The sequence below is a fragment of the Homo sapiens genome, chromosome 10 (genome assembly GCF_000001405.40).
Source record: "Homo sapiens chromosome 10, GRCh38.p14 Primary Assembly".
NCBI classification, from domain to species: domain Eukaryota; kingdom Metazoa; phylum Chordata; class Mammalia; order Primates; family Hominidae; genus Homo; species Homo sapiens.
This window is the reverse complement of record NC_000010.11, coordinates 102,358,957-102,384,544: the sequence shown is the minus strand read 5'-3', so window position 1 is coordinate 102,384,544 and position 25,588 is coordinate 102,358,957. Positions and strand designations below refer to the sequence as shown.

General features: G+C 49.0%; 1 protein-coding gene across 39 annotated transcripts in view, besides 1 other annotated feature; it reads right to left on the bottom strand.

Moving 5' to 3' along the window:
• Positions 1–1,648: 1,648 nt before the first annotated feature.
• GBF1 (golgi brefeldin A resistant guanine nucleotide exchange factor 1) overlaps positions 1,649–25,588 on the bottom strand; it is a 152,254-nt gene continuing 128,314 nt past the window's right edge. For 5 of the 39 annotated variants that reach the window (NR_165087.1, NM_001377141.1, NM_001411027.1 and 2 more), the window contains 30 exons: positions 25,110–25,275; positions 24,150–24,361; positions 23,425–23,523; positions 22,633–22,827; positions 21,881–22,070; positions 21,149–21,289; positions 20,747–20,835; positions 18,946–19,148; positions 18,039–18,162; positions 17,335–17,460; positions 16,985–17,067; positions 16,091–16,327; positions 15,713–15,806; positions 15,158–15,334; positions 14,770–14,834; positions 14,561–14,684; positions 14,300–14,371; positions 14,067–14,161; positions 13,685–13,838; positions 8,961–9,186; positions 8,113–8,273; positions 7,745–7,985; positions 7,405–7,610; positions 5,111–5,261; positions 4,894–5,024; positions 4,591–4,692; positions 4,183–4,296; positions 3,859–4,039; positions 3,290–3,418; positions 1,649–2,489 (listed from right to left, as the gene is read on the bottom strand). Coding sequence is in view for 33 of the 39 variants with exons in the window: in NM_001377141.1 (NP_001364070.1) it covers positions 2,209–2,489; positions 3,290–3,418; positions 3,859–4,039; positions 4,183–4,296; positions 4,591–4,692; positions 4,894–5,024; positions 5,111–5,261; positions 7,405–7,610; positions 7,745–7,985; positions 8,113–8,273; positions 8,961–9,186; positions 13,685–13,838; positions 14,067–14,161; positions 14,300–14,371; positions 14,561–14,684; positions 14,770–14,834; positions 15,158–15,334; positions 15,713–15,806; positions 16,091–16,327; positions 16,985–17,067; positions 17,335–17,460; positions 18,039–18,162; positions 18,946–19,148; positions 20,747–20,835; positions 21,149–21,289; positions 21,881–22,070; positions 22,633–22,827; positions 23,425–23,523; positions 24,150–24,361; positions 25,110–25,275 (4,569 nt within the window). In the remaining 6 variants the exon portion in view is untranslated. Of the gene's footprint in view, positions 2,490–3,289; positions 3,419–3,858; positions 4,040–4,182; positions 4,297–4,590; positions 4,693–4,815; positions 5,025–5,110; positions 5,262–7,404; positions 7,611–7,744; positions 7,986–8,112; positions 8,274–8,960; positions 9,187–13,684; positions 13,839–14,066; positions 14,162–14,299; positions 14,372–14,560; positions 14,685–14,769; positions 14,835–15,157; positions 15,335–15,712; positions 15,807–16,090; positions 16,328–16,984; positions 17,068–17,334; positions 17,461–18,038; positions 18,163–18,945; positions 19,149–20,746; positions 20,836–21,148; positions 21,290–21,880; positions 22,071–22,632; positions 22,828–23,424; positions 23,524–24,149; positions 24,362–25,109; positions 25,279–25,588 lie in introns of those variants that run through there. The other 34 variants (NM_001391924.1, NM_001391922.1, XM_047425969.1 and 31 more) reach the window with 23 other exon arrangements.
• Positions 22,506–22,706: a silencer, noted in NCBI's record as "peak1080 fragment used in MPRA reporter construct". NCBI's record gives its function as "represses an SCP1 promoter by STARR-seq MPRAs in K562 erythroleukemia cells {active_cell/tissue: K562}" and the evidence as "EXISTENCE:reporter gene assay evidence [ECO:0000049][PMID:32103011]".

Here is a 25,588-nt window from a genome sequence, read left to right as displayed (position 1 = left end):
GTGTGCCATGGTGCCCGGTCATTGCCTCCACTTCTGATGCCAATTGTTAAGTTTCAGGTGGTTTTTCCTGTATTTCTTACTGACCAGCTATAAATTGGGCTTCGCATGACCCCCTTCTTGGGTTTGGGTTCAACTAGTTTGCTAGAGTAGCTCACAGAACTCAAGGAAACACACTTACCAGTTTACTACAGGGAATATTATAAAGGATACAAATAACCAGCCATGAAGACATACATAGGGTGAGGTCTGAAAGGGTCCAGAGCCCGGGAGTGATGTCCCCGTGGAGTTGTGGTGCGCCACCCTCTGGGCACAAGGATGCACTCGTTTGGCTTCCTGTAAGCCTACATGTTCAGCTCTCTGGAAGCTCACCAAACCCTGCCCTTTTGGGTTCTTAGAGAAGCTTCCTTACATAGGCACGGTTGATTAAACCATTGGACAGTGGTGATCAACTTAACCTTCAGTCCCTCTTCCCTCCCTGGAGGTTGGGGGCTGAGCCTGAAAGTCCCAACCCTTTAATTCTGCTTTGGTGACCAGCCCCCATCCAGCAGCTACATAGGGGCTGCCAGCTATCAGTCAATCATATATTAAAGGACATCACTTTGGAGATTCTAAGGATTTTAAGAGTTATGCCAGGAAACGGGGTGAAGACCAAATATCTATTTCACAGTATCACACACCCATAGCACCTCCACCCTGCAGGGGCCACACAGCCTGCCCCATACACACTTCCCACCTGTCTTACCCTGATGCCAAGGGAAAGGAGAAGAGGGGTCCTCTAATCATGCTGCAGTGAGTGAGGTTTGAGGTTTGTGGGGCTGGGAAAAGTTACCCCTTTTCAGTTTGGGGTCAAAATGAATGCCCTGGGCTCCAAACCCATGACTGCAGCTGTGGGCAAGATACCCTTCCCAGGGCTGGGTGCAGTGGCTCATGCCTGTAATCTCAGCACTTTGGGAGGCCTAGGCAGGAAGATCATTTTAGCCCAGGAGTTCCAGACCAGTCTGGGCAACATAGTGAGACCCTGTCTTTATAAAAATTACACAAAAAATTAGCCAAGTGTGGTGGTGCACACCTTAGTCTCAGATACTTGGGAGGCTGATGTGAGAGGACTGCTTGAACCCAAGAGTTTGAGGCTGCAGTGAGCTATGATTGTGCCACTGCACTCCAGGCTGGGTGACAGAGGGGGGCTCCAGTGCAGTGGCACAATCATAGCTCACTGCAGCCTCGAACTCTTGGGCTCCTCTGAAACCCCAACAGCTGTTTTGGTCTCTTGGATGGTGAGACACATCTGAGAGAAGACTTCTGAATAACTACAACTCAGCCCTCACTCCTCTTCCCTCTCACCTAGGCCAGGTTGTCTCACGTGTCTCCCTTGTTACAGTTGTTAGGGAAGATTACGACAACTGCCCGAGCCACTGCCCAAGCCCCTGGGCACACCTGTGATGACAAGGGTACACCCTGTGGCAGGGCAGGGGTCAGCAGCAGTGAAGGAATCCTGACCCCCGGCCTAGCATCTGGCGGGGTGGGGGAGGGGGGTGGTGGTGTTAGGTAGGCTCAGCCTCTGCTCACACCAAGTCCAAGCCCTGCGCACCCGATAACATGGTGCCCTGACCCACAAGCTCAAGAAGGAAACCGGAGGGAGAGACAATGATGCTGGTACTAAGACATTTATTATATCATAAAAAGTCCACTGTTGTTCTGTTTTTCCATATGTACATGCTCCTGTGGGCAGTCCCCCACCCAGCCCCCACCTGCCTACCCTCCATGGTGCCAGTCAACTCTCCAAACTGACCAACTAATTAGTAAAAGAGGAAGAACTGGAGGAGGTGGCCCAGGGCTAATGGGAGTGGGAAACAAAGTGCAGAGTGGTTGGGCTTAGTTTTCAATGCCTGACCGTGGGCAGGCACTGCAGGGCCGGCACACGGATGCCTCCCCAGAGCTGCCGGGCTGGAGGCAGAGGCTGCAGATGACAGCTGAGTTCACTCTCAGGCTGAACCCCCAGGAATGGAGCGCAGAGGAGGAAAAAGGTCCCACAGCTGATTGGGGGTCTTAGCTGGGGCTATCAACATTCTCTTTTTCAGGTCCCCATCCAAGTGGCAGCAACAGCAGCTCTGACTTGGCCTGAAGAGCTTGTGGCCCGCAGGACAGCCAGAAGTGGGGTCAAGGAAAGCCTGGTGGGAAGCACTGGTCCTGATCTCTGAGTGACCTGCCTTAGTTGACCTCAGAGGTGGGTATGGGATCTGTGGGGCGGGGTGTGGCCAGGAGGGGCACTGGTGAGGTGGCCTCGATGAGCGCAGGGTTGAGGATGATGGGCAGAGTCATAGGTGGCACGCCCACCTGCAGTGGGGAGGCCAAGGGCTGCAGGATCAGTGGGGGCTGAGCCAAGGGTGGAGGCCCGTCGGGGGTGGGGCTCAGCCTGCTGGGGCTTGAGGCCACTGGTGATCCTGGGGAGCTGCTGCTGGCGGCTCGGGGGCTCTCGGGCTTCTCAAAGTCTGTAGGGAAAGCAAGGTGGTTACAGTCAGATTCCCTTGTTGGTACAAGACAACTCTCACATTGCCCAGCTGGCTGCTTATAGAGTCTCTGTTCCTCCTTGTTCCAGTAAGCAACACGGCCCCCCACCAGCCTAAAAAGTTGGGAGTCTCCCCTCAAAACTCATTTCAATGTTCAGCTACCTTCTATCTCCTTTGCCAGGCTACTCTTTTTTTTTTTTTTTTTTTTTTTTTTCGCGACAGGGTCTCACTATCACCCAGGTTGGAGTGCAGTGGCATGATCTCAGCTCACTGCAACCTCTGCCTCCCGGGTTCAAGCGATCCTTCCACCTCAGCCTCCCCAGTAGCTGGGATTATAGGTGTGCACTACCACGCCCAGCTAATTTTTATATTTTTTTGGTACAGGCGGGGTTTCACCATGTTGGCCAGGCTGGTTTCAAACTCCTGACCTCAGGTGATCTACCTGCCTCAGCCTCCCAAAGTGCTGGGATTACAGGTATGAGCCACTGCGCCTGGCCGCCAGGTTACTCTCTACTAGAATCCCTGAAAGGAAACCTCTGCAAATTCATTCCAAGTCCCTGACCCAGCCTTCTCTTCCCAAGCCTGAAGACTGCAAGCAGCTAGTTCCTCATAGCTTATGGTCCTGTCATTTCCCATGGGAAGAGCGGCAACAGTTCTCTCTAGTGGCCTTCTTCCCTCGGCTCACAGACCCTGCTCAGCAGCATTCCCACGCCCCCTTGGGCCTCCTCTTAGGCCCCCTGCTTGCTACTCAGTGCCTATCAGGCTAGGCTAGAGAGACTCACCACAGGCCCCCAGCTCAGATGGAATCTCTGGGGGCGGTGGATGGCCAGGTGTCCTAGTGTCGCCAGCAGCGGAAGTCAGGTGGGCTGAGGCGAGAGGCTTTTGGCCTTGAGGCTCCATGGGCATGGGGTCTGGAGACGGTAGAGAATTGAGATGGCACCTCTTAGTGCTTTCTCTCTCCAGCAGAGCCCTAGCTACCCAACAGCCTTTCTACCCACCCAGGGCACAGACAATAAATTCAGCTTTGGGGACTTTTTTTTTTTGAGATGGAATCTCGTTCTGTCACTCAGGCTGTGATCTCGGCTCACTGCAACCTCCACTTCCCGGGTTCAAGTGATTCTCCTGTTTCAGCCTCCTGAGTAGCTGGGACTACAGGCACCCACCGCCACACCTGGCTAATTTTTGTATTTTTCGTAGACATGGGGTTTCACTATGTTGGTCAGGCTGGTCTCAAATTCCTGCCCTCGGGTGATCCACCCACCTCGGCCTCTCAAAGTGCTGGGATTAGAGGTGTGAGCCATTGTGCCCAGGCAGGAGACTCTTTTTGATAAAGCTGGGCTGAGCCCCCTACCCTGGATGACGGTCTGCTTGAAGAGTTCATCTCGTAGGTGAGGGAGAAAACAGTCAATGCGTTCCCAGGTGATCTCCCAGAGGGCCGAGGGGCCGCCTCCCCGTGCATCTGCACTGTGGAAAATCTCCGCTGTGTCCATCACCAGAAGCATGTTCTTCAGAGACTCAGGGATCGCCTCTGACTGCAGGTGGCAGTGGGACCATGAGAATAGGAAAGAGGGCATGGGGGGAGTATGGTAAAGGGAGGTAGCTACCAAGGGGGAAAGGGCAAGTCCTTCCAACAGGTGGGACAGGAGGCAGGCAGCAGAGCTGAGGTAGAACATACCAGTAAGTCGCTGGAGCCTGCGTGCATGTACTTGTCCATGAAGTCCAAGATGGTGAGCCAGAGGGCCGCAAAGGTAGAGAGTGACAGCAGTGGAGACAGGTGCTGCAGGAAGACCTATGGCCCACCAGCCCCCTTCAGCTGAGGGGACTGTAGGAGCCTCTGGACCCCTCTCTGAGGCTGGGTAGCTAAGCCTGTCCTATCTTGCATGAGAATCTTAGATCAGAGATGGAGGAATCTCTGATTTAAGATTCAGAATCCTCTCAGGTCCCTAGGTCCTGCTTAGTGTCCATAGCTGGGGGGTTGTGAGCACCTACAGTGCATCTCTAGGTCCTGCCAGAAGCCCTGGCTTCCCTCCTCGGGAAAAGGCAGGTATGGGAGAGAGGGTGGGTATAGGGTGGTGAGCAGTACCTTAGAGAGCAATGTGGAAGCCCTCATCCGGGTCTCCTCCATCCCACCCACATCTGCAGGGCTGATGTTCTCCAAGAGCTTGGTAAGTAGAGGAAACAGCACCTGGTGGGGGTAAATGTGCAATGTCTCCCTATGAGGTTCAGCTAGGCAGCCTTGCCCCAAGGAAGCCAGGAACTGGATGGGCATAGAGCTGAAGGGAAGGTATGATGCAGGCTGAAGACTCACATTAGGGGCTCTTCAGGCTGCCTGGCTTTCCTTTTCTTAGGATTTGAACTTTATCTTAAGACCAGTAGGAAGTCCCACCTTGTTAAAACAGGACTCCCATTCCAGGGCATCTAGCTTTTGCAGATCATGTACAAGTAGTGCTCGCTGCAGATAGGTCAGTGCCTGCATCCGTACCTGGCGCCGGGCATCGCAGCACAGGCAGGCAATACCTGAGAGCAAGAGCAGGGTCAGGATCCTTCAGGCATCTTGATCCTGATGCTCCCCAAACTCCCTACCTCTGCCCCTCCTGGTTTACCCTGCAGTAAAGGGCACCAGCAGTGGGCCCAGAGGGTGCGAGAATCAGCTTCAATCTTCTGGCCACCTGTCTCCAGGTGGCGTTGCTCCTCCGCCCATGAGCTGTAGATAGAGGCTGCCCGCGTGTGCAGGGTGTGCATCAGGTCTAGCAACTAGGATCACAGGAGGGGGCAGGATGTGAGTGGGGTTAGGTCTCGTGGATCCCTTTCCCCCTCCCCACTCACTGTCCCTAACTAAGTCCTCAAGGTGTCCCTAGCACCAATCATGCCATACCTCACCCCCTCGCTACTCTTTCCCTTGACTTGACTTCCTGGTTGTTCCAGTCCTTGTAAAGGACTCTCCAAGTCAGAGATTACTCATGAGAGAGAGAGCCTTAGGAGGTGTGTGGACTGAGTATTTCACAATCCTTACTCACAGTGAGAAAGATACTTTCTTTTCAATTCTATTTCACACCTGCTGATGACAGAGAAAGCCTCATGTTGTTAATTTAATTTTATTTTTTGAGGCAGGGTCTCACTCTGTCACCCAGGCTGGAGTGCAGTGGCACAATCACGGCTCGCTGCAGCCTCGAACTCCTGGGCTCAGGTGATCCTCCCACCTCAGCCTTATGAGTAGATGGAACTACAGCTGTGCGCTGCCACAGCCAGCTAATTTTTTGTATTTTTGTAGAGATGGGGTTTTGCCATGTTGCCCAGGCTGATCTTGAGCTCCTGGGCCCAAGCAATAGTCCTCCCAAAGTTTTAGGATTACAGGTGTGATTATACCATGCCCGGCCTAATTTTATTTCTTATTTTATTTTTTGAGACAGGGTCTTGCTCTGTGCAAAACTGGAGTGCATGGCACCATCATGGCTCACTGCCTCCTGGATCTCCTAGGCTCAAGAAATCCTCCCACCTACTCAGCTACTCAGCCTCCCCAGTAGCTGGGACTACAATGTGTGCCACCATGCCCAGATAATTTTTGCATTTTTATTTTTGTAGAGGCAGGGTCTCGCTATTTTTCCCAGGCTGGTCTCGAACTCCTGGCCTCAAGTGATCCTCCCGCCTCAGCCTCCCAAAGTGCTGGAATTACAGGTGTGAGCCACTGTACCTGGCTGTTAATCTCATTTTTAAAACAGAAAACCTCAGGCTCAGAGGCTTTGATTGGGCAATAGTGTCTGGCCAGATTTAATACATTTTTACTTTCGTTATTTTTCTTTTCTTTCTTTTTTTTTTTTTTGAGATGGAGTCTTGCTCTGTCGCCCAGGCTGGAGTGCAGTGGCATAATCTCGGCTCACTGCAAGCTCTGCCTCCCGGGTTCACGCCATTCTCCTGTCTCAGCCTCCCGAGTAGCTGGGACTACAGGCGCCTGCCACCATGCACAGCTATTTTTTCTATTTTTAGTAGAGACGGGGTTTCACCGTGTTAGCCAGGGTGGTCTCCATCTCCTGACCTCATGATCCACCCGCCTCGGCCTCCCAAAGTGCTGGGATTACAGGCAGGAGCCACCAAGCCCAGCCACTTTTGTCATTTTTGTATGGTTATTCTATTTAAGGCAATTGGTTCTCCATCAATTTAGTGATATAAACTCTGCTCACATAATTAATTTTATATGCCTTTGAATAGACACAGGGTAACTCTGGAAGGATAGACAAGAAACTGGTGACAGTGGCTGCCTCTAGTGAGGGGAACTCAGAAGCTGGGGACAGGAATGGATTGGAAACTTAGTTTTATCAGTTTACCCTTTTGTATATTTTGAACCTACTCAAAAAATAAGTAAATCTTAGTTTAAAAATAAATTTAAAGGCCAGGTGTGGTGGCTCATGCCTGTAATCCTAGCACTTTGAGAGGCCGAGGCAGGCGGATCACGAGGTCAGGAGATCAAGGCCATCCTGGCCAACATGGTGAAACCCCGTTTCTACTAAAAATACAAAAAATTAGCCAGGCATGGTGGCACGCGCCTGTAGTCCTAGCTACTTGGAAGGCTGAGGCAGGAGAATCGCTTGAACCCGGGAGGTGGAGGTTGCAGTGAGCCGAGATCACGCCACTGCACTCCAGCCTGGGTGACAGAGAGACTACATCTCAAAAAATAAATAAATAAATAAATAAATAAAAATAAAAATAAATAAATAAATAAATTTAAGCAAATAAAGACTTACAGGTAAGGTTTTGGGTAAGGGAATATTGTGAAGATGGTGGTCCAGGGCCTGGGCTGGCACACATGGGCCCTTCCCCTCAGCCCTGGCTTTCCCTGGCCGCCCCAGGCTCCCAGTATCAGGTGCAGGGGAGGAGAGGAAGTAAAGGGTGCCATACTTACGTCCTGACTGACCTGTAAAGACACCGTATGGTAGCTGGCAGGCACGCCTTCGTCCTCATCATCATCACTCTGCCCGCCCCGAGAGGCATGTTGGCTGGAGGTTCGAGGCCGGCGAAGCATTGATCCCTCTTTGGATTTCTTCTTGAAGCGGTTCCCTTTGCTGTCATATTTGTGACTCTTGCCACGTTTCTCCTGGGACTTGCATCCTGAGCAGAGCCAGACTCAGGTCACATTTCTGTGTCTATATAGGCATAGATACCCTGCCTTTTCTCCCCTCTCAGCCTCTCCCCTGCATAATTGCATGGCTACTCCCCAGCTGCCCCCTCATCAGCTGACCCACCGCCATTCAGACTGGCCTCCACAAAGATCCGGAGAGTCTTGACGCAGAGCTCAAAGTTGTCAGGTGTGATGTGGGCAGCATCACGCACAATGAAGGACAGCGATTCCACACACTTAAGCAGAGACTTAGTGTCGTGTGGCCCCAAATCCAGTCCCACTGTTAGGCTGTATTGATTGATCAGGGGTGAAGGGCCTGGGCGGCTGGGCCCTGGCTTGGAGTTATCAACGTCATCCTTCCCAACCTGTAAAGTACACAGAGGAGCTGGGGACACAGGCTTGGCCCCTGTGTGAATGTCCTTGCAGAGGACCAGGAATTCTTCCCACAGGTCAAGCAGGAGAGACTCAATTGCTGCCCATATTGTCACTCACCACTAACCAACCACTGTTGACCACATCGGCATCTGTGGCTGATCGGTGTATCTTGCCCGGCCTGCCATGGTCAGTGTAGACCTCTGAGTCGGAAGTGTACCCTCGATCCAGGCTCACGTCATTCTGATGGTAGGATGGGAGCTCACTATCTGACTGGGCCCCTATGGTAGGCAGGGAGAAGGGCAGAGTCAGGGTGGGGATGGGGCACTGGGATGAGGGATAAATCAGGCTCTCAGAAAAAAGATGCTGAGGCCTGGCCTCCCCTCTCTCTGGCATAGTTTAATTTCTGTCACCAGAGGGCCAAAGGATGGCCGGAACAGTTTCTCTGTTGACCAAATAAGGTGGCAGGCTAATCTGGGTTCCTGATGGCATCTAGTGGCAGCTGTAGCACCACTCTAGGGAGTGGTGGCAAGGACAAATAAGCAATGCAGAAGGCTATGAAGCCAGGCTTTCCACTGTCCTGAGGACTGTTTTCCCAGTTTCTGGGATTTAGTGATGTATCGATTTAGTGATATAAAGTCTGCTCACAGAATTCTATTTTCCCAGAATTCTGGGAAAACAGTCCTCGGGACAGCTCAGAAACAGAAACTGGGAAACAGTCCTCAGGACAAATCAGTCCTCAGGACAGTAGGAAGCCTGGCTTCACAGCCGTCTGCATTGCTTATTTGCCCTCATGCTATTTAACTTATGGGTACTAGCCAGCGGGCACTGGAAGCTCTGGAAGTGATGGCAGGAGCCAGGGCTGTTTAATCTGCTGAACACAGTAACCTGTGTTTTGTTTTCCTGTCCCAACTCCTGGGGTGTAACTGTTTATCTGCCAGCCTGAGTCTCCCTGGGAAAGGGCTTACCGGCATCAGGTGCATCTGCCCTGGCTGTGGCCTGCAGAGCAGCTGGAGGCTTCACACCTGAGCCGATGCACTCCAGCAGTGTGAAGAGTGTGGCCCAGTCATCACCTGAGTGGATGTTGGCTGCATTGGTCTTCAGGAGTTCATGGAGCCCATACGCAACCTGGTGGCTGACTCGGGATAGCACACTGGGCTTCATCAGTAGCAAAATGCGCAGGGAGAGCAGCACCTGGAGTGGGGTTAGGGCAGGGAGCGGGGAAGCGGGGAGCTGTGTGGGCACACAGCTTCCTGTCTAGTTTTCTTTCCCACCAGTCTCCTTAGGCCAGTGAAGACAGTTTGGCTAGGACCCAATTTAGGATACTGCTCTGGTCTTTTTTTTTTTTTTCAAATAGAAATATATTAATTATATTATTTGAGACAGGGTCTTGGTCTGTCTCCCAGGCTGGAGCACAGTAGCACAATCACAGCTCACTGCAACCTGAAACTCCTGGGCTCAAGTGATCCTCCTGCCTCAGTCTCTGGAGTAGCTGGGACTACAGGTGCATGTGACCACACCTGGCTAATTTTTTTTTTCTTTTTTGGAAAGATGGGGTCTCGCTATGTTGCCCAGGCTGGTCTTGAACTCCCAGGCTCAAGCGATCTTCCCGTCTCAGCCTCCTGAAGTGCTGGGATTATAGGCATGAGCCACTGCACCCAGCCTCAAATACAAATTTTTATTGAGAAAATTATAGGCTCATATGCAGTTGTAAAGAAATAATACAAAAAGGTCCCTTATACACTTTGCCCAGTTTATCCCAATGGTAACATTATGCAAAACTATAGTATAATATCATAATCAAGATACTATCTGATCTTATTCAGATTTCCTGTTTTACTTGCATTTTTGTGTGTATTAATTTCTATACAATTTTATTACCTGTGTAGGTTTGGGTATCCACCACAAAACAACATACTGAACAGTTCCACCACAACAGTATCCCTCATGTTGCCTTTTTCTTTTTTTAGAGACAGGTTTTGCTCTGTCACCCAGGCTGGAGTGCAGTGGTATGATCATAGCTCACAGCAGCCTCAAACTCCTGGGCGCAAGTGATCCTCCTGTCTCAGCCTCCAGAGTAGCTGGAACTACAGGCATGCACCACCATGCCCAGCTCATGTTGCCCTTTTATAACCACACCCACCTCCTCCTTCCTGCCCCCATCCCTAATCCTTAGCAATCTGTCTTCAAATTCTTTTTTTTTTTGAGATGGAGTCTTACTCTGTTGCCCAGGCTAGAGTGCAGGCAGGATCTCAGCTCACTGCAACCTCTGCTTCCCATGTTCAAGTGATTCTCCTGCCTCAGCCTCCCAAGTAGATGGGATTACAGGTGCGAGCCACCACGCCTGGCTAATTTTTGTATTTTTAGTAGAGATGGGGTTTCACCATGTTGGCCAGGCTGGTCTCGAACTCCTGACCTCAAGTGATTCACCAGCCTCAGTTTCCCAAAGTGCTGGGATTACAGGTGTGAGCCACTGCGCCCAGCCTGTCTTCAAATTCTAAAGTTCTGTCATTTCAAAAATGTTATATAAGTGGAATTATATATTACATAACCTTTTTAGATTGGCTTTTCTTTCACTCAGCATAGTTCCCTGGAGATGTCTGTTGCTTTAAATTGCTGAATAGTATTCCATGGTGTGTATGTACCACAGTTTATTCACCTATTGAAAGTCATCTGGGCCGATTCCAGTTTTTGGCTATTACAACTAAGGCTTCTATAAACATTCATGTACAGGTTTTTATGAGAAAGTAAGCTTTCACTTTTCTGGGATAAATGTCCAAGGGTGCAATTGCTGGGTTGTATGGTAATTATATGTTTCATTTTATAAGAAACTGCCAGCAGAGTAGCTGTACCATTTTACATTCCCACCCAGCAATATATGAATGACCCAGTTTCTCCACGTCCTTTCAGCATTTGGTATTGTCACTACTTTTTATTTCAGCCATTCTGAAAAGTGGGTAGTGATGTCTCATTGTGTTTTTATTTTTTGGAGTCTTGCTCTGTCACCCAGGCAGGAGTGCAGTGGCACGATCTCAGCTCACTGCAACCTCCTGCGTTCAAGCGATCCTCCCACCTCAATCTCCTCAGTAGGTGAGACTACAGGTGTGTGTGACCACGCCCAGCTAATTTTTGTATTTATTGGTAGAGACATGGTTTCACCATGTTGGCCAGGCTGGGCTCAAACTCCTGACCTCAGGTGATCCACCCACCTCAGCCTCCCAAAGTGCTGGGCTTACAGGTGTGAGCCTCATTGTGGTTTTAGTTTGCAGTACTCTGATGGTTAATGATGCTATCTTCATTTCATGTGCCTATCTGCCATCTGTATGTGTTCTTTGGTGAAACATCTGTTCCTATGTTTTGTCCATTTTCTATTAATAATTGGATTGTTTTATCACTGTTGTGTTTTGAGAGTTTTTATATTACAGATACCTTTCTTCAAATATGTGATTTGCAAATATTTCCTCCTCGTCTACAGCTTGTCTTTTCATCCTCTTCACATAGGCTCTCATAGAACAAAACTTTTAAAAATATTAATGTAGCCCAACTTATCAATTTTTCCTTTTCTAGATTGTGCTTTTAATGTCAAGTCTAAAAATTATTACTTTTTTTGAAAGAGAGTCTCCCCCGGATCTGTTCCATCCAGACAGTGTTGAGGCAAGAGACAGATCCACAGGACTGCCAAACATGCTAAAAATTCTTTGCTTAGCTCTAGATCCTGAAGATTTTCTCCTGTTTCTAAAGTTTTTATAGCTTTACATTTAAATCTATGATCCATTGGAGTTAATTTTCCTGTAAGGTATGAGGTTTAGGTCAAGGTTCATTTGGTTTTTCCTCCTATGGATTTTAATCACTCCACCACTTATTGAAAAGGCTATTCCTCCTCCACTGAATTGTTCTTACATCTTGGTCAAAAAATCCACTGAACATATTTGTGTTGAGCTTATTTCTGGTCTCTCTATTCTTTTCCATTGATCTACGTGTCTGTCCCTCCATCGACACCACATAATCTTGACTACTATAGCTATACAGTAAGTCTTTTTTTTGAGACAGAGTTTCGCTGTCCAGGCTGGAGTGCAATGGTGTGATCTTGGCTTACTACAACCTCTGCCTCCCAGGTTCAAGTGATTCTCCTGCCTCAGCCTCCTGAGTAGCTGGGATTACAGGCATGCCCCACCATGCCTGGCTAATTCTGTATTTTTAGTAGAGACGAGGTTTCTCCATGTTGGTCAGGCTGGTCTCGAACTCCCAACCTCAGGTGATTGCCTGCCTTGGCCTCACAAAGTGTTGGGATTACAGACGTGAGCCACTGTGTCCAGCCGAGAGTAAGTCTTTTTTTTTTTTTGAGATGGAGTCTCGCTGTGTTGCCCAGGCTGGAGTGCAGTGGCGCAATCTTGGCTCACTGCAACCTCCGCCTCCCAGGTTCAAGCGATTCTCCTGCCTCAGCCTCCCGAGTAGCAATCAGGCGCTCACCATCACGCCCAGCTAATTTTTCTATTTTTAGTAGAGACGGGGTTTCACCACGTTAGTCAGGCTGGTCTTGATCTCCTGACCTCGTGATCCACCCGCCTCAGCCCCCCAAAGTGGACAGTAAGTCTTAATACCAGAGTGATTCTTTTTTTTTTTTTTTGAGACAGAATCTCACTCTGTCACCCAGCTGGAGTGCAGTGGCGCGATCTCAGCTCACTGCAACCTCCGCCTTGAGTTCAAGCGATTCTCCTGCCTCAGCCTCCCAAGTAGCTAGGATTACAGGTGTGTGCCACCACACCCTGCTAATTTTTGTGTTTTTAGTAGAGATGGGGTTTCACCATGTTGGCCAGGCTGGCCTTGAACTCCTGACCTCAAGTGATCTGCCCGCTGTGGCCTCCCGCAGTGCTGAGATTACAGGCATGAACCACAGCAACCGGCCCAGAGAGAGTGATTCTTTCCACTTTATTCTTTCTAGCTATTCTAGAGCTTGTGCCTTTCCATCTAAATTTTAGAATAAGCTTACCTATGTCTACAAGAACCTTTCTGGGATTTTTATAGGAGTTATGTTGAATTTACAGATCAATTTGGGGAGAAGTGACAAAGTTACTATGTTGAGCCTTCCAATCCATGAACATAGTATGCCTCTTCATTTATTTACATCTTCTTCAATTTATTTTGTAGTTTTGTAGTTTTCATCATACAAATCTTATACATGTTTTGTCAGCTATATATTAAGTATTTCACTTTATTTGGAACCCTTGTAAATGGTATTGTATTTTAAATTTCAGTTTCCATATTGTTCATTGTTAGCATGTAGAGATATAATTACTTTTTGTGTATTGATCTCACATCCTGTGACCTTGTTGAATCCACTTATTAGTTCTATGCTTGTTGTTTTTTGTAGTTAAGCAAAGAGATCTCAAGAGGGTCATAAGCATGACAGGAAACCAGGTATAGGGCTGAGACTATTATAAGGCAGTAGCAGGCCAGTCCTACAAAGCAGATTCATAGGAGGCTGAGGTGCCAAACACAAGCTCCATGCCTGAGGCCATTCCAGGCTCACTCCCAGTACCACCCGCTAGACTGCACCAGCCCTGTGGTTGGTCACTGGACTCATGCTATGGGGCACTAAATGTACTCTCTGTCTCAGGCCATATTCATAATTGACAACTGTGGCCTTAATCCCTTGCATACCTGCCCACTCTCCAAGATGCATTCTGCTTACCTGAGCACTGATCTCTTCTCTCCGGAGAAGCCGAATGGCCAGGCGTAGCAACCCCACCACTGCCCGCTCCACAAGGAAGCAGAAATCTTGTGCCTGAACACAGAGGTGGTATAGATGGTCTCGAACAGTCTGCCACACACAGCCCACACGATCCCTGTGTAGACATAAAGGAATGAAGATAGTCTCAGCCAGAGGGGCCACTGGGCAACAGGTCCCCTAGGCCTTTCAGGACTCATTGGTATTATACCCTAAGTAGACAGGTATGATGAGTAAGCTTCTCCCCTGCTGCCTACAGTTCCCCAGAGCCCACTCAGCAAGATGGCTTCCATCCCTTTGGCACAAGCCCAGCATGGGGTCTGCCTAAAGACTACGCTCATCTTACCTGTTCTCCAACACAATCCTTAGCAGCATCTCTAGGCAGAAAGCAGCATCTTCCTCATCATATGTCTCTTCATCTGGTGTCACTGAGACCAGAGCCTGAAGGGGAACAGCAGCAGGAAAGTAGGCATGGAAAAGAAGCCAACCACTGGCCCTGCCCTGACAGAAATAATACTGTCCCTGTCACCCCTCCCAGATTCAGCCAGTTGTTCCATGTTTCCTTTCTTCATCCTTTACCTTCATGAGCTCCTGTAGTGACTCCAGCTGGAGGAACTTGCTTTCTGTGATCATTTTTTCTGGGTCACATTGCTAGAGAGGGCAAAAGAGAGAGGGGGTCTTTGACAAAGGCTGAAGAGAACAGAATGTCCCCAAGAGCCAGGGGGAGAGGGCAGAGTCAGCCCTGGTTACAAATCCTGGATGATTTATTCTTCAGTTCACCAAGTAGCATCTAATAGGAAGGTGTTTAGGCTTTCTCACCAGGGGTGGATGGGCAGTTACCTTTATACACTCTAAGGCCACTCTCTTGGCCTCTTGGTTTTCAGTGGATGGGCCCCGAACACTAGACTGCTCAGGACCACTCAGTGTTAGCCAGCTCACAAAGCTCAGCACTGTTGACTCTCCTCTGTAGAAAAAGGGCACATGGCCTGGTGAGCCCCAAAGTTCTGACTCTCCCTCCCCAAGCCCCTGAGCCTCTGGTCTGCTCTTACCGGTTTGATGGTGTCTCTTCCCGCTGTAGAGAGATCTTGCCATTGGGATCCACGAAATCTTCTACCTGGAAAAGTAAGTCAAAATAATTTCTTTCCATGTGTCCTTTGCATTTGTGCCCGCCTCCACCCACCAAAGTTCTCTGGATTTCCTCCTCTAGTCTTCTGCCCCTATGCTATTGTGCCAATTGGTGACTGGCAATGGCATCTACCAGCCTTCTTTTACAGCTATCCCCCAAGATCTGTGGTCTTACATTTGAGGCATTCCTGGTGAGCTGTGGCAGGCATCAGGCCCAACATTACTCTCAACCACTTACTTCTATGTACAGGTAGCATACAATGTTGCAGCTCTTGCCTTGTTATCGCTCACTAGTCTCCTACTAAGAATTACCTCTATCATAGCCTTGGGCAGTAGTTGGGCTCGGAAGAGCTGCAGCATGGCCTCCATGATATTCTTCCAGCCCTCCCGCAGGATGTCACCATGACGATGGGCCAAATGGAATACTGTCTTGGCTGCAATATGGGCTTTAGGGTTGCTTCCAAATACACTGGGCAGGTTCTCAATAGACTGGAAAAGAGGAAGAGAACAGACTTAAGGCCGAGCTAATGTCTGGAAAGGAAAATCTCTTAGGTCTCTGCCTATGATGGTTCCCTCAGGTCCTTTTGTTGGCTCTGCTTCAATCCCCCATAATACTGGTGGGAGTGGGTTAACCTAGTTAAGGCCTTCCCCACTCCTGTATCTCCTTTCCCATCCCCATTACATGAAGTAACACTAGTTTTATCCCAGAGTGTGCAAGACAGAAATGGCCTAAGCTCTGGTATATTCAAGTGGGGGCAGTGAGGGAAGACGCTGAGGGCAACCAGGTCTGTTGATAAGGGTAGATCCATGGCTAAAAGAGAGGTCCTCCTTTGGAGCTCCAAGTACACAGTTCCTGCACCTGCTCACCTCACTGCTGAGAGCTGTGAATTTGCATAGAGAGATGATGAGATTGTCAAACACATCGCTGAGGCCATAGTGGGCGGAGATCATGGCGCACTTCCTGTAATGTTACCCCCCATCCCAGAAACAGAGTCACTGGAAGGCCAAGCAGCCCTTCCAAGTCCCTGAGCTTGCATGGGGCTCTTCCCCAGTCAGTCCCAGGAAGAAACCTTTTAATTTTGTTTCTGTTTAAGACTGAGCCTACCCAAGCTTCAGCCTCCCTCCAAAAACTCAGGGGGAACCCCATTCTAATGAAGTAACAGTAGGAGTCAGAGAGGCATGGAGAAAACCATGTTAGCTCACAGAGCTAGTGGGAGGTGAAGACCAAGGCCAAAGCTGGGCTACCTGAAGCCTGAGATGGCTTTCTGGATGATTGTCTCCTCAAGGCTTTTGTCAAAGACATAAGAGAGAGCAGCAATAGTGGGGCCCCAGGTCATGGTGAAGAGGTCAAGATCATAGCTGGCAGTAGGCACACGCAGGAATATGCCCTCAGGGGTGGCACCTCGATGAAGCAGCACATTCCACACATAGTTCTCCCGAACCAAGCCTGTCTGCTCCTCAGGCATTACAATTTCCTCATTCCTGTCAGGAGGTAAGGGAAGGAGCAGTTGCACTGCTTTGAACCTGACTAGTTCCAAACCAAGACTAGGAGTTCATCCATACTAGCACTCTCCACTGATGAGAGGTCATCAGAACTGCAGCTCAGTGGTCTGCTTTCCACCCACCAGTGGGAGCAGACAGAAAGAAAGGAAGTGTCCCATAATCTCAAAGCCCTATCTGTAAGTGAGGCCTTTAGTTCTATAGTAAGATCACACATTCTTACTAGGTGTGATAAAATGAACAATTCTACCTTTTCTGATTTACAGTAAAAAACTAAGTGGCCCATTTCTGACCTGTAACCTGGGCCTCACACTCCAGTGCCCATCTTGGGTTCTCTACCAGCCAGCATCTTGTAATCTATACAGGAAAATGTACCTGTTTTAAGTTCAGAAAATGGGGCCATGATATCCTACTTAAGAGCAGCACTTTGGACCCTGGCTTAGAGTACTAGAGTCCCAATATCATTTGGGCTTCTTTAAGGAAGAAACAGTTGGCAGAGAGGGGGCTGCCCAACTAAGTCCTGAGGCTAAATCCAGGGCATGTGAGTCACTGCAGTCTGACATGACTCTAAAAACTGGGAAAGGAAGCAATGTGCTTCTTCTTAACAGAGATACTGCACTATTCTCTATGTATACTCACTTGATGGCATGGTACATGTCCTCCAGGATGTCTTGCTCAAAGTCCTTGCCTCCATTCACACCTTTCAGATTTTTGCGAAACTCCTAGAGACAGGCCAGTAAGTTTTTTCCCCTTGTGTCAACACTGAAGCCCCACCTAAGGAACTCCTGGGTTTTCAGTAAATAGGACTTAGGAAAAGGTAAGCGAAAAAACCCACTTCCCCACCCCAGTCCCTTTTCTAGGTTGGCCAGCCCTTCCTGATTCCCTTGGACAGAACCCCATCCATCATGCCCACTGGAAATCCTATGTCCTTCCTGCTACCTCCCAAGCTGTGCTGGGTCTTCTTTGCCTTGACTGGGACCCAAGCTTACCTCCAGGGTCATGGGTGCATTCTGTTTACGAACATTGTGGTTGTGCTGGTCAGTATTAAGCATGATGACAGCATAGGCCAGGGAAAAGCAGGCATCGCTATTGGCAAATGGGGAGCCATTACAATTCTGAAAAAGCAAAGATCCCGCCTGTGTCAATGCCCTTCTCTGGCCAATTAAACCCTCACTACCAACCCACTGGTCAGTGCTAGTACAGAGGAGAGGTACCATCCAGAAAGTGGCCAGTCTCTTGCCAACTCCTTAACAGAAGCTGATCTCTTTGTGGAAAGGTCACTAATTTTGCTCTCTGACTTTTTAAGAGACAGCAGGCTGGGTGCGGTGGTTCACGCTTGTAATCCCAGCACTCAGGGAGGCCGAGGTGGGCGGATCACCCGAGATCAGGAGTTCGAGACCAGCCTGACCAACATGGCAAAACCCATCTCTACTAAAAATACAAAAATTAGCCAGGCTTGGTGGCAGGTGCCTGAAATCCCAGCTACTCAGGAGGCTAAGGCAGGAGAATTGCTTGAACCCGGGGGGTGGAGGTTGCAGTGTGCTGAGACTGCGCTACTGCACTCCAGCCTGGGTGACAGAGCGAGACTCTGTCTCAAAAAAAAAAAAAAAAAAAAGAGACAGCAGCTGGATTCTTCAGCCCTCAGTCAAACTGACCTTGGATCCTGGGCTCAGCCCCTGACACTCAAACTCACCATCCAACGCTCTGTGAATGCCTCCAGCAACCTCTGGATGACTGGTGCTTCCCCAGGCAAACGGAAGGCTTCCAGGTAGAGGCGGAGGGCTTCGTCCAGTCGCAGACCCTGAAAACTGAAGGTGCTATAGGGAAAGAAAGGAAGAAGAGGCTGAAAATGTGTAAGCTGCACATGTCAGGCTCTTTTAGTCACTGTCCTCCTAACCTACTCTTACTGGAAGAGAGGAGGCTGAGGTCTCTAGTAAAGGGGCAGTATCTCCTGTTCATCCCTAACACAACCCCTAGCCTTAATACTTTTCACATCCACGGACTCTTGCCTAGAACCCTCACCCCCTGGAACCCTGCTCTACCCCTTTGGAATGGACTCCATGCAGAATGGAGGGGGCTCCCCAAACTATCTCGTTGGAGTCCCTTTCAGGTCCAATAGATATAAATGATGGGTAGAGGAAGAACATTGGCTAGGGTCTCCAGAAGAAATTTATAGAGACCGCTTTGAGGTAGGGATGTTCTGTCCCTTTAAACTGATCACTAACCATGTCCCACCTTTTTTTTTTTTGAGCCAAGGTCTCACTCTATCACAGCTCTATCACAGTGGCATGATCTCACTCTATCTCACTCTATCTCACTCTATCACAGTGGCATGATCACAGCTCACTGCAGCCTCGAACTCCCAGACTCAAGTGATCTTCCTGCCTCAGCCTCCTGAACAGCTGGGACTACAGGCACATGCCACCATGCCCAGCTAATTTTTGTATTTTTTGTAGAGACAGGGTTTCACCATGTTGCCCAGGCTGGTCTTGAACTCCTGAGCTCGAGTGATCTGCCTGCCTCAGCCTCCCAAAGTGTCAGGATTACAGGCATGAGCCACCATACCTGGCTATATCCCACATTTCTTACAGCTTCCTCACCTCACAAAGCTCTCCAACAGGTCAATGTTTTTGCGGTCACTCACAAACTCTCCAATCATCTTCTTGTCCAGCCGAGGGTTCTCTCGGAGCCACTGAGCAACCTCTGTGTTGTCCATTGGGATGGTGAGGAGGCCTTTCTCTTGCAGAAACTGAATCCCCTTCTTTGGTTTCTGATTGAACTGCTCTGTGCCAGTGATTAGCAGCTGCATGAGAAAAACTAGAGGTATAGAAGCTACTTTGCCTCTAAATTAGACAAGGCCAGCCTGGAGTCCACCATAGCCCACCCACAGTTGGTCAGCTAAAAAGCTCCTAGGATGTGGTTCTTAGTGATTACAGAACTAAGGCTAGATCATAATGGCCTTAGCTTCCCCCATCTTCATGTCTAATTGAATTGGCTTACGAGCTCTTTTTTACTCCTTTCCTGAGTGCTCAAGATACATAAAACAGTTCCTCTTCTCTAACTTAGGATTGGGGGAAAAGTAGAAGAAAGAAACTAGGTAATTCTTCTCTCCAGTTTTATATCCATCCCTGACATTTGTTGATAGCCAGCCTCTTGTTTTTAGCCTAGCTTAGCTTCTTTGGTTGCCTAGCTTAATGCCCTGGGTTTGAAAGACAAAGTGGACTAACTGTGGAGGCAACTCATATTTCTGTATGTCCAGTCACGGCCAGGTACTCAAGGGCACACATGAACCAAAGTCATTTAAGCTGGCAATAAGAGAAAGAAAGGGTTAGGTTTTTTTTTTCTTTTTCCGAGATGGAGTTTCACTCTGTTGCCCAGGCTGGAGTGCAGTGGCGTGATCTCAGCTCACTGCAACCTCTGCCTCCCAGGTTCAACTGATTCTCCTGCCTCAGTCTCCCGAGTAGCTGGGATTACAGGCATGCACCACCATGCCCAGCTAATTTTTGTATTTTTAGTAGAGACGGGGTTTCATCGTGTTAGCCAGGCTGGTCTCAAACTCCTGACCTCAGGTGATCTGCCCACCTCGATCTCCCAAAGTGCTGGGATTACAGGCGTGAGCCACTGCGCCCGGCCAGAAAGGGTTAGGTTTTCTTTGTGTTAAGAAACCCAAAGTACAGGCCAGACATGGTGGCTCACGACTGTAATCCCAGCACTTTGGGAGGCCAAGGTGGGCAGATCACGAGGTCAGGAGATCAAGACCACCCTGGCTAACACGGTGAAACCCCGTCTCTACTAAAAATACAAAAAATTAGCCAGGCATGGTGGCACACGCCTGTAGTCCCAGCTACTTGGGAGCCTGAGGCAGAAGAATTGCTTGAACCCGGTAGGTGGAGGTTGCAGTGAGCTGAGATCATGCCACTGCACTCCAGCCTAGGCAACAGAGAGAGACTCCGTCTGAAAAAAAAAAAAAAAAAAAAAAAAAGAAATCCAAAGTACAAACAGTTATTTGAACCTTACTATTTGAACCTTACTAAAGCACCAGAATGAATATCAATTTCCCTTTATTGCCAATCATCTTGCAAGAGCTGGAGATGACAGTAACCTTCAATGACCCACAAGACACCAACTCCCAAGGCTCCTGTCACTGCCACTAGTGACACTTGGCTCTCAACTGGTACAGCATTTGCGCAGGGGCATACATAGGGTATGCTCAACTACATAGCTTAGGAGTAAGGGAAGGGCTTCAAATGGGAGTTGCTGAAGTCCCAACAAGCCCAAAGACTGGCCTCAGGAAGCTGTACAATGAGGTGCTAGACTCTCCTTCATCTTCTGAGATGGAAACCCTACAACACTGGACACCCAGACAGAGGTGGACAGAGGCTGGGGAATACATGTATGTACCTTCTTTTTGTTTTTAATTTCAATTAGTTCCCGTGGATCTGGCAGGAGACAGGAAAATCGGGGTGGCTTCCGGGCAAACTTTTTGTCAGCTAGGAGTAGGAAGAAGAGGGGGGAAATATCTGTAACACCTTTTTTTACCCAGATAAGGACTTTTGGAAGGTCACCAATATACTCCCCAGTTTCAAGAAGGAGCCTCAGAAATCTTGTCCTCACCAGTCTTCCACTTCCCTGGAAGTCCTATCAACTGAGGGTCCATATGTTTGCTTCCCTCTCTCTGAGTCTGAAGGCGAGGCGGGCTACCAAGGCTTGCTTAGTTACTATCCTAGGTGTCTGCTCCCTCCCTCTGCTCTTCACCAGGCCCTCCAGGTGAGGAGCTTAGGGTCATGGACACCCAGTACCCACCCCCAGAGTCAACAGCTTCCTCCAGATCACTGCATCCTGATTTCCCATGTTCTGGTGGCAGCCGCCCTCCACCTGGCAGATGCAGGCCTGGGATGTCTGAGGCCATGCCTACAGCTTTCCCATCGCTGGCAGTTCTCTCAGCTGGTAAGAGAGAAGAAGATACGTGAAGACTTATAGGGTATGAAGCCAAGCAGAGCTGCAGGATAGATCAAATCCCAAGCCCAGAAGACCTGCATGGTTCCTGCACAGGGCGCCAGCCCTGAGCAGGACAAACCCAAGCCAAAATAAGTAGTCCCTGTCCCAGCCAAGCATTAGATTCTCTAATTTAATGAAGAGATTACCCAGTCACTTTCCCTGATCTTCTGCAACCTCAAATTTCAAGGGGGAGCTAGAGAGGACTAATTAGAGTGGAGGCAGATATTGGGGATGAGGGATGGTGGGACCTGGAGCTTTCAGAGACAGAAATCCTATATTCTTTAATCTCTGTTCTCTTCTCTTGCCATAAAGAAATAATAATTCTGTAAAAAACCAAAGTGGGGAGGAGGAAAAAGGGAGAAGGCTATGAGTTCTACTAATCTGCCTGACTGGCCTGTGATTTAAACTGCCAAAGCCCAGAAACAGAATTGGGAGCATCCCAGGGGAAGTGATATGGGGACAGGAAAAACGACTCAGAGAGTAGAGAAGGGATAAGCATAGAACACTGGGTTCATCAAAGAAAGAAATGCCTCTCACTATTGCTAGCTTCTCGGGTGCCATCTACTATCTCACAGCTTGGTCTGGCTGTCTCCTTCTTCTCTTGCTGGGTGAGGCTGTTGAGGACTTTAGCCTGGCAGTGGGCCTCGGTGCTGTCAATCACTGTCAATAGGGCATCAAGAGATAGTAGGTGTGTTGTATAGAGTTGACCAGACACAGGGAAGGCATTCTGGAAAGTAAACAGATCAATTGGACTTGTAGTTAGGAGAACACTTTACACTTTGATCATTTTCTAAAATTTCCAAAACTTCTTCTAACTTGTACATTGCCCTTAGAAAACGTCTTTCTGGCCGGGCGTGGTGGCTCATGCCTGTAATCCCAGCACTTTGGGAGGCCGAGGCGGGTGGATCACAAGGTCAGGAGATCGAGACCATCCTGGCTAACATGGTGAAACCCCGTCTCTGCTAAAAATACAAAAAATTAGCCGGGCGTGGTGGTGGGCACCTGTAGTCCCAGCTACTCGGGAGGCTGAGGCAGGAGAATGGTGTGAACCCGGGAGGTGGAGCTTGCAGTGAGCCGAGATCGCGCCACTGCACTCCAGCCTGGGCAACAGAGTGAGACTCCATCTCAAAAAAAAAAAAAAAAAAAAAAAAGAAAAGAAAAGAAAATGCCTTTCTTCTATTTCCCAGCTCTCAAGTGTTCCCCTCTCTGTATGTAACATCCTCACTACCACCAGGGAGATTTCCTTTATAATGCGTTTTTTCCTAGAAGCCAGTTATAGTGCTCAGCACCTTGGACAGCAGCTTTGTGAGTTCCTCAAAGAGGTTGGAACAGTAGTAGTCACAATCATAGTTGATGTAGAGCTCTGTGACAAAGCTGGGGATGCGCCAGAGCTGCACAATGGCCTCCAGTGCCATCTCCTTCATCTCATAAGGCATCTTGGGGTTCTCCACAGTGATGATCTCCATAAGCTTTTTGATGTACATCTGGCAATAACCCAGTAATTGCCATTTGGGTGGGGAAAGGATTCAAGATAGGAAGAGAAAAAATTAGACAGGAAAAACATTAAACAGGATGCAGAAGCCCAGCCTAGAGGCATGTATTAAGAGACACCCAAAGGTATTCCATCCCCTAAATATATCTCTTCTTTGGCCTCCATGTTGGGGGATAAGGCCTGGCTCTCTACCACATACCTGGTCCCAGACAAGTTGCCTCTTGCCCTTTTGTGCTATGTGAACATGACCTGGTCCTATTTAGAGTTCCTTTTAGCAATTTAGTGACAATGCTGGCTTGACTTACCTACCTGTGTTGCAGAGTAACTGCTGGGCAGAAGAGCTGTCCCTATTCATGGTAAGGTTACCTGGCAGTTCTCATATTTGGGGTCAGCCAGTTTCCTTTGGTCTCCTTTTAACTTTTCCACAAAAGAGGCCAGTTGATTGAACCGAACTCTGGAGGCTAAAAGGACTCTCCTATAGGAAGTCCCTAAATCCTACCCCTGTAGCATGATAGAGCTGGCCCCACTGAAGATGCCATATATCTCCCTATTTTTTTTCCCCCTTTTCTTTCCACATCAAGAAACTCACCTCCATTTGGAACTTGAGGTGCTCTCGCATGCTCTCAAACAGTAGGAAGCATACTCGCAGGGAAGCAGCATAAAGGTTTAGTCGCTCTATGCTGAGTAGCTGGAGATGAGAGCAGGGTAGGCCATGAGTTTTTTTTTTTTTTTTTTGAGGCGGAGTTTCACTCTGTTGCCCACGCTGGAGTGCAGTGGCGCAATCTCAGCTCACTGCAACCTCTGCCTCCTGGGTTTAAGATATTCTCCTTCCTCAGCCTCCCAAGAAGCTGGGATTACAGGCGCACGTCACCATGCCCAGCTAATTTGATATTTTTAGTAGAGACTGGGTTTCACCACATTGGTCAGGCTGGTCTCAATCTCCTGACCTCGTGATCCGCCCGCCTTGGCCTCCCAAAGTGCTGGGATTACAGGCGTGAGCCACTGCACCCAGCCCGGCTGTGAGGTTTCTGAAGCTGACTATGGCTCAACCAAGAGAGGCAGAAGAGGCAAACTGAGTGAAGGTGTCACTGAGGTCCATTGCTTCCAGGGAACTCTACATCTAGCCATTCCTATATTTCTCTCTGGCTGCCAGAGTCCCTGGGGAACTACTGGAACCCTCTTACTAAAACTACTAGCCAACTGGGAGGGAGATGCTTTCCTAGGTCCTATACTCTTTGCGTAATCAGCCAGACCTCCCTGTGTTCCCCTGGCCCTTGAAAGAGGCTCTGAGACCCTCTAGCAATCTTGTCTTACCTGGAATAAGTGACGGCACATCTCATCCTTGATGAGGCCCAAGAGGGTCTGGCACTGGGCTACAGGGGCTGACTCAAGGGCCACTGTCAGCAAATGCAGTCCCATGTGAATCATAACCTCTGAGTTATGGCGGTCGTGTGGATTGGTGAGGGAGATGAGGAAGCGGAAGAGCTCGCGGATGCAGGGAAGACCATAGGGGACCAAAGCTGTGCCTGGGGAAGGCCAGGAGGAGAGTGAGACTGCTATAAAACAACTAGTCTGCTGGCTTTGCCTAGCCTGCTCTGCATTACACAAGGCAATTTTAGGTAAGTGATTCTCTTTGAAGAAAAGGGCTGGGCGTGATGGCTCATGCCTGTAATCCTAGTGCTTTGGGAGGCTAAGGTGGGAGGACTGTTTGAGGCCAGGAGTTTGAGACCAGCCCAGGCAACACAGAGAGACCCCATCTCTACAGAAGATTTTTTAAAAGTAGCCAAGTGCAGTGGTGCATGCCTATAGTCTCAAATACTTGGGAGGCTGAGGTGGGAGGATTGCTTGAACCCAGGAAGTCGAGGATATAGTGAGCTGTGATTGTGCCACTGCAGCAATCCAGCCTGGGCGACAGGAAAAAAAAAAAAAAAGGAAAAGGATTTTTTTTTTTTTCCTGGGGACATGAGGGGACTAGTCTACTTCTGGAGGAAATCAGAATTGATGATCCTACCTTTCTGTTAAAAGTCCTAAGCTTTTTTCCCTTCCTTCTTGCTTCCTATTGCCCATCAAACTTCCTCCCTGTAGTATAAGTTAGGGAAGGGCTCCCTCCATGCCAACAGTCTATGGCTTGACTCCATTTCCTGACTAGAAAATAGCCTAGAACTTGGAGCAACAGGCAGTAGTCCAATATCTTGGTTTAAGACGGTCTAGGCTCAGGCAGCTTAGTAGGTAGGATGGGGGAGGTGAATTGGCAGAGCCTACCAGAATACCCACCTTCTTTCTGGGAGGACTGTGTAAAGCGCACGCCCCGGGGATTGACGTAATCCATGTCATGGACAGAGGCAGAGTCAGAGTGGTCGGCAGGGGACGTGCACTCCTCTAACACTTCAGGGATGGACTCCACAGATGCTGACTGGGACTTTTCCACATGGGTCCCTTCCTGCTATGACCAGTAGCAGGGAGATATGGGAAGAGGGATGAGGCAAGAGCAACTTGGAACTTACTCCCCTGAAGTAGCTGTCTTCCAAGCTGTCTCTAATGGGCTACAGATGTAGGGCCAACTCAGTGGTTTATGAATCACCGCAAGATGGCTCAGGTAGGAGTATGATGAAGGACTCAGAAAAACATCTCCTGAGGCTTCACTGACCTACAATGACTAGAACCTTAGAGACACAGAGCCTCTCACAGGCTTAGGATTTGGATCATTACCTTCCAGAAAAAGCAATGGCCAGCTCCTTCCCTTTTGTCAAGTA